We start from the raw sequence: 11,381 nt of genomic DNA, 5'->3' as shown, positions 1-11,381 counted from the left end.
ACTATATCTAATCTCACTACATGATGCCACAAAATGGTGAATGAATGGAGTTAAGAGTCTCAGTAAAAGATTTTCAGCATTCTCTCATGAGAGCAGTTTGATTGATTGTTGCTAAACGTTCTACGCTCCTGCAATTATAAATGGCAACTGAGGATAGATTTCAGGTGTTTATGGAAACAAATGGCAGTCATTGGGGTCATTTGAGCATGAGATGATTTTTTTCCCCATTTCAATTTTTTAAATTGACACATGATAATTTTAAATATTTTTAGGGTACATAGTTATGTTTAGATACATGCAATGTAAAGTGATCAACTCAGGGTAATTATTATACACATTATCTCAAAGTTTTATGATTTATTTGTGTTGGGAACATTCAAAATCCTCTTTTCTAGCATTTGAAAGTATATAATAAATTATTATTAACTATAGTCATCTTACAGTGCTACAGAACAGTAGAACTTATTCCTCCTATCTAGCTGTAATTTTTGTATCCTTTAACAAGTCTATCCCTATCCTGCCAACCCTTCCCAGCCTCTGATAGCTTTCATGTGCGTCCGTGTGAAGAGACCACCAAACAGGCTTTGTGTGAGCAACATGGCTGTTTATTTCACCTGGGTGCAGGTGGGCTGAGTCTGAAGAGAGTCAGGAAGGGAGATAAGAGTGGGGCCGTTTTATAGGATTTGGGTAGGTAAAGGAAAATTACAGTCAAAGGGGGTTTGTTCTCTGGTGGGCAGGAGTGGGGGCCGCAAGGTGCTCAGTGGGGGTGCTTTTTGAGCCAGGATGAGCCAGGAAAAGGACTTTCACAAGGTAATGTCATCACTTAAGGCAAGGACCGGCCATTTACATTTCTTTTGTGGTGGAATGTCATCAGTTAATGTGGGGCAGGGCATATTCACTTTTGTGATTCTTCAGTTACTTCAGGCCATCTGGGTGTATAGGTGCAAGTCACAGGTGATAGGATGGCTTGGCTTGGGCTCAGAGGCCTGACATTCCTGCCTTCTTATATTAAGAAGAAAAATAAAACAAAATAGTGTTGAAGTGTTGGGGCGGCGAAAATTTTTGGGGGGTGATATGGAGAGAGAATGGGCGATGTTTCTCAGGGCTGCTTCAAGCGGGATTAGGGGAGGCGTGGGAACCTAGAGTGGGAGAGATTAAGCTGAAGGGAGGTCTTGTGGTAAGGGGTGATATTGTGGGGATGTAAGAAGAAACATTTGTCATATAGAATGATTGGTGATGGCCTGGATACAGTTTTGGATGAATTGAGAAACTAAATGGAATAACAGAAGGAGAAAAACAGGTATAAAAGGTCTAAGAATTGGGATGATTCAGGATATCTGATTAGAGAGTGCCTAAGGAGATTCAGCATAGTCCTACCAGCAAAGATTATTTATTTACTTCAAGAGTTAAGAGTGGCAGTTTGGGGATAGCACCAGGAGATATCAGCTGTGATGGCTTGGAAAAACAGTGTAAACTGGCAGTGTAAACAAGAGCAGGGCATGTATGAGTAGTTGAGAATGGTGAATAGGCGTATGACTAGACAGAAGATAGTGGGGATGACAAGTATTTTTTGGGGCACAGTCTAAGTTAGTCTGGTGTCTGGAATGAGACTGGGGCCTAATAAAAAGAAGCATCTATACGGAGCTTAAATGGGCTGTACCCTGTAGCATTCCGAGGACAGGCCTGAATTCTGAGAAGGGAAAGTGGTAAAAGTATTGTCCAGTCCTTTTTAAGTTGGTGGCTGAGCTTGGTGAGGTGTGTTTTTAAAAGACCTTTAGTCCATTCTACTTTTCTTGAAGACGGAGGACCGTAAGGGATATAAAGGTTTCACTGAATACTAAGAGCCTGAAAAACTGCTTGGCTGATTTGACTAATAAAGGCTCGTCTGTTATCAGACTGTATTGAGGTGGGAAGGCTAAACTGAGGAATTATGTCTGACAGAAGGGAAGAAATGACTGCAGTGGCCTTCTCAGACCCTGTAGGAAAGGCCTCTACCTATCCAGTGAAAGTGTCTACCTAGACTAAGAGGTATTTTAGTTATCTGACTCAGGGCATGTTGAATAAAGCTAATTTGCCAGTCCTTGGTGGGGCAAATCCTTGAGCTTGATGTGTAGGGAAGGGAGGGGGCCTGAATAATCCCTGAGGAGTAGTAGAATAGCAGACGGAACACTGAGAAGTTATTTCCTTGAGGATAGAGTTCCACGATGGAAAGGAAATGAGAGGTTCTAAGAGGCGGGCTAGTGGCTTGTACTATAGCATAACCTGCCTTTGCTGGTGTGTGGCGATTAGGCCTGGTGGAACCGCCATCAATAAATCAAGCATGATCAGGGTGAGGAACAGGAAAGAAGGAAATTTGGGGAAATGGGGTGAATGTCAGTTGGATCAGAGAGATAGTCATGGGGGTCAGGTGTGGTATCAGGAATAATGTGGGAGGCCGGATTGAAGTCTGGGCCAGGAACAACGGTAATTGTGGGAGACTCAACAAAGAGTGAGTATAGCTGAAGGAGCCGGGAAGCAGAAAGTATATGCATCAGGTATGAGGAAGAAAATAGATTTTGGAAGTTATGAGAACTGTAGAGAGTGAGTTGAGCATAGTTTGTGATTTTGAGGGCCTCTAAAAGTATTAATGCAGCAGCAGCCACTGCACACAGACATGAGGGCTAGGATAAAACAGTAAGGTCAATTTGTTTGTACAGAAAGGCTACAGGGTGTGGTCCTGGCTCTGGTGTAAGAATTCTGACCACGCTAACCATGCCTAGGAAGGAAAGGAGTTGTCGTTTTGTAGAAGGTGCTGGGGTTTGAGAGATCAGCAGGACACGATTGGCAGGGAGAGCACGTGTGTTTTTATGAGAATTATGCCAAGATAGGTAACAGATGATGAAGAAATTTGGGCTTGATTGAAGTAATGGGGGCTGTCTGTGAAGCTTTGCAGCAGTACAGCCTAGGTAATTTGCTGAGCATGATGGGTGTCAGGGTCAGTCCAAGTGAAAGCAAAGAGAGTCTGGGATTAAGGGTGCAAAGGAATAGTAAAGAAAGCATGTTTGAGATCTAGAACAGAATAATGGGTTGTAGAGGCAGGTATTGAGGATAGGAGAGTATATGGGTTTGGCACCACGGGGTGGATAGGCAAAACAATTTGGTTGATAAGGCGCAGATCCTGAACTAACTTGTAAGGCTTGTCTGGTTTTAGGACAGGTAAAATGGGGGAATTGTAAGGAGAGTTTATAGGCTTTAAAAGGCCATGCTGTAGCAGGTGAGTGATAACAGGCTTTAATCTTTTTAAAGCGTGCTGCAGAATGGGATATTGGCGTTGAGTGGGGTAAGGGTGATTAGGTTTTAATGAGATGATAAGGGGTGCACGATCGGTCACCAAGGAGGGAGTAGAGGTATCTTATACTTGTGGGTTAAGGTGGGGGGATACAAGAAGAGGACGCAAAGGAGGCTTTGGATTGGGAAGAAGGGTGGCAATGAGATATAGCTGTAGTCCAGAAATCGTCAGGGAAGCAGATAATTTAGTTAAAGTGTCTCAGCCTAATAAGGGAACTGGGCAGGTGGGGATAACTAAAAAGGAGTGCTTAAAAGAGTATTGTCTAAGTTGGCACCAGAGTTGGGGAGTTTTAAGAGGTTTAGAAGCCTGGCCATCAATACCCACAACAGTTATGGAGGCAAGGGAAACAGGCCCTTGAAAAGAAGGTAATGTGGAGTGGATAGCCTCTGTATTGATTAAGAAGGGGATGGGCTTACCTTCCACTGTGAGAGTTACCAGAAGCTCGGCATCCGTGATGGTCTAGGGGGCTTCTGAGGTGATTGGGCAGTGTCAGTCTTCAGCTGCTAAGCCGAGAAGATCTGGGAAGGAGTCAGTCAGAGAGCCTTGGGCCAGAGTTCCAGGGGCTCTGGGAGTGGCTGTCAGGTGAATTGAACAGTCCGATTTTCAGTGGGGTCCCACACAGATGGGACGTGGCTTAGGAGGAATCCTAGGCTGTGGGCCAGATTTCTGGCACTTGTAGCAAGCTCCTGTGGGAGGAGCTTCTGGAGAAACACCTGGCCGCTGTGGTTCAGGTGTTTGGAAGTTCTTGTGTGCTGGAGATGTGGCTGGGGTTTGTCTCACAGTGGAGACAAGGAATTGCAACTTTTTTCTATTATTGTACACCTTGAAGGTGAGGTTAATTAAATCCTGTTGTGGGGTTTGAGGGCTGGAATTTAATCTTTGGAGTTTTATTTAATGTCGGGAGCAGATTGGGTAATAAAATGTATTTTGAGAATAAGACGGCCTTTTGGCTTTTTAGGGTCTAGGGCTGTAAAGTGTCTCAGGGTTGCTGCCAAACAAGTCATGAACTGGGCTGGATTTTTATATTTGATGAAAAAGAGCCTAAAGGCTATCTGATTTGGGATAAAGAAAAAGGAGCATTAACCTTGACTATGCCTTTAGCTCCAGCCACCTTTTTAAGAGTAAATTGCTGGGCAGGAGGGGGAGGGCTAGTCACGGAACGAAACTGTAAGCCAGACCAGCTGTGAGGAGGGGAGGTGATAAAAATATTATAGGGTGGAGGAGCAGAGGCTAAGGAAGAATTGGGACTTAGCTCGGCCTGGCGAGGAGCAGCCTGGGGAGGAAGGGAGAGGTCAGATGGGTCTGTAGAAAAGGAAGATTAGAAAGACTCAGCGATGCTTGGGGTTGGTACTGAGGGGACAGGCGGGAGGGAAAGAAGGAAGATTTGGGATGAGTTGCACTGGGCACAGAGACTAGGAAGGGACTGATGTGTAAAAGAATGCCTGGATGTCAGGCACCTCAGACCGTTTGCCTATTTTACGACAAGAATTATTTAGATCTTGCAGGATGGAAAAATTCAAAGTGCCATTTTCTGGCTATTTGGAACTACTGTCAAGTTTGTATTGGGGTCAAGCGGCATTGCAGAAGAAAATAAGGCATTTAGGTTTTAGGTCAGGTGTCAGTTGAAGAGGTTTTAAGTTTTTGAGAACACAGGCCAAGGGAGTAGAAGGAGGAATGGAGGGTGGAAGGTTGCCCATAGTGAAGGAAGCAAGCCTAGAGAAAAGAGAGAGTAGAGAAACAGAGGGAAGGGGTTCGGGGGTTCTTACCTTCCAGAAAAGTGGGAAAAGGGGTTGGGGTGCAGAGATAAGAGGTTGGGGTGCGGAAATAAGGGATGGGGCACAGAAATAAGGGGTTGGAGCATGGAAATAAGGGGTCAGGGTATGGAAATAAGGGATTAGGGCACAGAGATAAGAGGTCGGGGTGCAGAAATAAGGGATTGGGGCACAGAGATATGAGGTTGGGGTACTTGCCCCTCCTCTAGAAAAGTGGGACTTGCCACTAAGAGTGAAGGAGAAGGGGTTGAGGGGTACTTGCCCCTCTCCCAGAAAAGCGGGTCTTGCCACGAAGGGTGAAGGAGAAGGGGTTGAGGGGTACTTGCCCCTCTCCCAGAAAAGCAGAGAAGGGGTAGAGACAAGGAGAGAAGGGGTTGAGGTACTTGCCCCTTCCCCAGAAAAGCGGGACTTGCCGCTAAGGGTGAAGGACAAAGGCAGGCGTCCCTGCGTGGTCTGACACCCTTGAAACGTGGGTGTATAATCAGAGAGGCATCCCTGCAATGATTAAACACCAAGGGAAGGCTGCCTTCCCCGTCCGTGACTGGCGCCGGAGTTTTGGGTCCACGGATAAAACGTGTCTCCTTTGTCTCTCCCAGAAAATGAATTGAAATTAAGAGAAGGGAGAGATTGAAGAGTGGAAAGGAGAAAGTGGTTGAGGGACAGTGAGAGAGGTTGGAGAAGAGAGTAAGAAGAGGCTGCGTACCTGATTTAAAATTGGTGAGATGTTCCTTGGGCTGGTCGGTCTGAGGACCTGAGGTCGTAGGTGGATCTTTCTCATGGAGCAAAGAACAGGAGGACAGGGGATTGATCTCCCAAGGGAGGTCCCCCGATCCGAGTCACGGCACCAAATTTCATGCACGTCCGTGTGAAGAGACCACCAAACAGGCTTTGTGTGAGCAACATGGCTGTTTATTTCACCTGGGTGCAGGTGGGCTGAGTCTGAAAAGAGAGTCAGCAAAGGCAGATAAGGGTGGGGCCGTTTTATAGGATTTGGGTAGGTAAAGGAAAATTACAGTCAAAGGGGGTTTGTTCTCTGGTGGGCAGGAGTGGGGGCCACAAGGTGCTCAGTGGGGGTGCTTTTTGAGCCAGGATGAGCCAGGAAAAGGACTTTCACAAGGTAATGTCATCACTTAAGGCAAGGACAGGCCATTTACACTTCTTTTGTGGTAGAATGTCATCAGGTTAAGGTGGGGCAGGGCATATTCACTTCTTTTGTTGATTCTTCAGTTACTTCAGGCCATCTGGGCATATACGTGCAAGTCACAGGGGATATGATGGCTTGGCTTGGGCTCAGAGGCCTGACAATAGCCACTGTTCTGCTCTCTTATGAGATCAACTTTCTTAGTTTTTTTTTTTTTTTTTAGTATTTATTGATCATTCTTGGGTGTTTCTCGGAGAGGGGGATGTGATAGGGTCATAGGATAATAGTGGAGAGAAGGTCAGCAGATAAACACGTGAACAAAAGTCTCTGGTTTCCCTAGGCAGAGGACCCTGGGGCCTTCTGCAGTGTTTGTGTCCCTGGGTACTTGAGATTAGGGAGTGGTGATGACTCTTAACAAGCATGCCGCCTTCAACCATCTGTTTAACAAAGCACATCTTGCACTGCCCTTAATCCATTTAACCCTGAGTTGACACAGCACATGTTTCAGAAAGCACGGGGTTGGGGGTAAGGTTATAGATTAACAGCATCCCAAGGCTGAAGAATTTTTCTTAGTACAGAACAAAATGGAGTCTCCTATGTCTACTTCTTTCTACACAGACACAGTAACAATCTGATCTCTCTTTCTTTTCCCCACATTTCCCCCTTCTCTTTTCGACAAAACTGCCATCGTTATCATGGCCCGTTCTCGATGGTTGCTGTCTCTTCGGAGCTGTTGGGTACACCTCCCAGACGGGGCGGCCAGGTAGAGGCGCTCGCTTCCTAGATGGGGCAGCCGGGCAGAGGCGCTCCTCACATCCCAGACGATGGGCGGCCAGGCAGAGGCGCTCCTCACCTCCCAGATGGGGCGGCCGGGCAGAGGCACTCCTCACCTCCCAGACGGGGTGGCCAGGCAGACGCGCTCCTCACCTCCCAGACGGGGCGACCAGGCAGAGGTGCTCCTCACCTCCCAGATGGGGCGGCCAGGCAGAGGCACTCCTCACTTCCTAGATGGGGTGGCAGCCGGGCAGAGGCACTCCTCACATCCCAGATGAAGGGTGGCCGGGCAGAGGTGCTCCTCACATCCCAGATGATGGGTGGCTAGGCAGAGGCGCTCCTCATTTCTCAGATGGGGCAGCCGGGCAGAGGCGCTCCTCAGTTCCCAGATGGGGCGGCTGTGCAGAGGTGCTCTTCATTTCTCAGACGGGGCGGCCGGGCAGAGGCGCTCCTCAGTTCCCAGACGGGGTGGGTGGGCAGAGGCACTCCTCACTTCCCAGACAGGGCGGTTGCCGGGCAGATGCGCTCCTCAGTTCCCAGACGGGGCGGCCGGGCAGAGGCGTTCCTCACATCCCAGATGGGGCAGCCAGGCAGAGGTGCTCCCCACTCCCAGACGGGGTGGCGGCTGGGCAGAGGCGCTCCTCACTTCCCAGACCATGGGCAGCCAGGCAGAGGCGCTCCTCACTTCCCAGACGGGGCGGCCAGGTAGAGGCACTCCTCACTTCCTAGATGGGGCGGCCAGGCAGAGATGTTCCTCACATCCCAGACGGGATAGTGGCCGGGCAGAGGCGCTCCTCACTTCCCAGACAGGGTGGTGGCTGGGCAGAGGCGCTCCTCGCTTCCCAGACGGGGTGGCCGGGCAGAGGGGCTCCTTACATCCCAGACGATGGGCGGCCCGGCAGAGACGCTCCTTACTTCCTAGATGGGGTGGCAGCCCAGCAGAGGCTGTAATCTTAGCACTTTTGGAGGCCAAGGCAGGCGGCTGGGAGGTGGAAGTTGTAGCGAACCGAGATCACGCCACTGCACTCCAGCCTGGGCAACATTGAGCATTGAGTGAGTGAGACTCCGTCTGCAATCCCCAGCACCTTGGGAGGCTGAGGCAGGCAGATCACTTGAGGTCAAGAGCTGGAGACCAGCCTGGTCAACACGGCGAAACCCCGTCTCCACCAAAAATACAAAAACCAGTCAGGCGTGGCGGCGTGTGCCTGCAATCCCAGGCACTTGGCAGGCCGAGGCAGGGAGGTTGAAGCGAGCTGAGATCACCGCAGTACAGTCCAGCTTCAGCAACAGAGGGAGAGGGGGAGGGGAAGGGGGAGGGGGAGAGGGAGAGGGAGAGTTTTTTTCATGAAGCGATGATAAATTTTATCAAATACCTCTTCGGCATCTGTTGAGATGAGTTTCTGTCCTTCATTCTATTGATGTGATGTATCATGTGTATTGATTTGCATATGTTAAACCCCCCTTGCCTCCCAAGGATAAATCCCACTTGATCATGGTGTGTTATCTTTTTGATGTGATCTCATTCGGTTTGCTGGTATTTTGTTGACAATTTTTGTATGTATGTTCATCAGGGATATTGGCCTGTAGTTTTCTTTTTTGTGTGTCCTTATCTGATTTTGGTATCAAGGTTATGCTGGCCATGTAGAATGAGTTTGGAAGAAATCCCTCCCCTTTCATTTTTGGGTGAATAATTTGAGAATAATTGGTATCAGTTTTTCTTTATAAGCTTGGTAGAATTCAGCAGTAAAGCTGTCTGGTCCTAAACTTTTCTTTGCTGGGAGACTATTTATTATTGATTCAATCTCAGTACTCATTATTGGTCTGTTCAGGTTCTTATATGTGTTCTCGTTTCAGTATTGATATGTATTTAGAAATTTGCTCATTTCCTCTGGATTCTCTGAAGTTTTGGTATATAGTTCTTCCTAGTAGTCTCTAATACTCCTTTGCATTTCTTAGTATCAGTTGTAACATCTTTTTTTTTGTTTCTAATTTTACTTATTTAGATCTTTTCTGTTTTTTTCTTAGCTTAGTTATCGGTTTGTTGATTTTATCTTTCAAAAAAGCAACGTTTCATTTTGTTGATATTTTATATTCTTTTTAGTCTCAATTTTGTTTCTTTGTGCTCTGCTCTTTGTTATTTTTTCCTTCTACAAATTTTGGGTTTTCTTTGTTCTTCCTTTTCTAGTTTCTTAAGCTGCATCATTAGGTTGTTTATTTGAGATATTTTCACTATTTTTTTTTTTTGGAGGTTGGGGGGATCTCACTATGTTGCCTAGGTTGGCCTTGAACTCTTGGGCTCAAGGGATCTTCCTGCCTCAGCCTCCCAAGTAGTTGGGGCTACAGGCGTGTGCCACCATACCAGGTTTTCTTACTTTTTTGATGTAGGCATTTATTGCTGTAAACTTGCCTCTTAATACCCCTTTTGCTGTGTTGCAGACATGATATGCTGTGTTTCTATTTTTATTCGTTTCATGGAATTTTAAAATTTCCTTCTTAATTTTTTTCTTTACCCATTGGCTGTTCAGAAGCACGTTGTTAGATTTTCCTGTATTTGTATAGTTTCGAATGTTCCTATTGTTAATTGATTTCTAGCTTTATTTCATTGTGGTTAGAAAAGATACTTGAAATGACTTCAATTTTTAAACATTTTTTGAGACTTGTTTTGTGTCCTAACATATGGTCAGTCCTGGAGAATATTCCACGTGCTGATGAAAAGAATGTATATCCTGCAGCTGTGGGGTGAAATGTTCTGTAAATGTCTGTTAGGCATATTTGATCTATGGTATAGTTTACATTTTATGCTTCTTTGTTGATTTTCTGTCTAGATGATCTGTCCAATGCTGATATTGGGGTGTTGAAGTCCCCAACTATTATTGTATTGGGGTTTGTATCTCTCTTTAGATTTAATAATATTTGCTTCATATATCTGGCTCCTCCAGTTTTGAGTGCCTATACATTTACAATTGTTACATCCTCTTGCTGAATTGATTCCTTTATTATCATAATATAATGTCCTTCTTTGTCACTAAGTTGTGCAAAAGTAATTGTGTTTTTTGTCATTACATTCAAGTTTAATATTTATATTAAATATATTAAATACTGTAACCAAGCTGTAATATTTTTACAGCTTTTAATTTAAAGTCCACTTTACCTGATATAAGTGTAGCTATTACTGGTTATCTTTGGTTTCCATTTACATGAAATGTCTTTTTCCACCTCTTCACTTTCTTTTTTTTTCTTTTTTGAATGGATAAATAAATTGTGGTATATTTACACAGTGCAATATTACATGGCAATGAAAAAAATGAACCATCGCTACACACAATAACAAATTTCACAAACATAACACTGAGTGAATGAAGCCTGATATCAATGGGTAATACTGTATGATTCCATTTGTAAAAAGTTCAACACAGGAAAAACTGATCCAGAGTGATGGAAAGTGAAATAGTGGTTATCCTTGGATGGGCAGATAGTAATGACAGAGGAAACATGAAGGAGGCTTCAGGGTTGTTCTATAGTACCCTGTTCTATAGCTTGGTTTGGACGGTGGTCTAAATGTGTGGGTTGGTGAAAATTTGCCAGTTGGTGGAAATTCAGACCCGGCACGGTGGCTTACGCCTGTGTCCCAGCACTTTGGGAAGCCAAGACGGGTTGATTGCTTGCGCCCAGGAGTTTGAGACCCACCTGGGCAACATGGTGAAACCCTGTCTCTAGAAAAAATACAAAAATTAGCCAGGTGTGGTGGCACGTGACTGTGGTCCCTGCTACTTAGGGGGCTGACGCAGGAGGATTGCTTGAGCTCAGGAGGCAAAGGTTGCAAGGTTGCAGTGAGCCGAATTGTGCCACTGTAATTTTGCCTGGGCAACAAGAGTGAAACCCTGTCTAAAAAAAAAAAAAGAAAAAAATTCACTGAGTTGTACACTTATGATTTGTGTACCTTTCTCTACTTGTGCTATACTCCATGACAAGCTTACACAAAGTCCTTGTCTAAAAGGCCCTACATGATAATGCCACTTCCTCTTCCTAACCCATATTTTGGTTGTACCCCAACTTTGTTCACCCCATTCTTGTGACTCTTTTCTCATTGCTGTTCTCCAGCGTACCAGTGTTGGTTGTTCCTTTCTCTAGGATCTTGCATTTACAGCTGTATCTTCTCCCAGATATCCACACAGACTGCTGCCTTGCCTAATTAAAGTTTCTGCTTAAACTTCGCCTTATCAGAGAAGGCTAAGAATGTCTTCTTTCTATTCTTAAAACCAGCCAATAGCTTTCATTTCACTCTAAAGAAAAGCTGAAGTTCTCACATGGTACACAAATCCCTTTGTAACCTTGCTTTCTGGTCTTGTGGCCTCTATTCCTCTCA

At 45.6% G+C, this 11,381-nt stretch overlaps 1 annotated feature.

The window, feature by feature from the left end:
* Positions 211-997: an enhancer, noted in NCBI's record as "OCT4-NANOG-H3K27ac hESC enhancer chr1:99980474-99981260 (GRCh37/hg19 assembly coordinates)". NCBI's record gives its function as "activates a minimal SCP1, AML or CMV promoter by ChIP-STARR-seq in naive H9 embryonic stem cells {active_cell/tissue: H9 hESC(naive)}" and the evidence as "EXISTENCE:reporter gene assay evidence [ECO:0000049][PMID:30033119]".

This window comes from Homo sapiens, chromosome 1, assembly GCF_000001405.40.
Source record: "Homo sapiens chromosome 1, GRCh38.p14 Primary Assembly".
Lineage (NCBI taxonomy): Eukaryota > Metazoa > Chordata > Mammalia > Primates > Hominidae > Homo > Homo sapiens.
The sequence above is the reverse complement of the archived record's forward strand: the minus strand, read 5'-3'. Positions and strand labels throughout refer to the sequence as shown.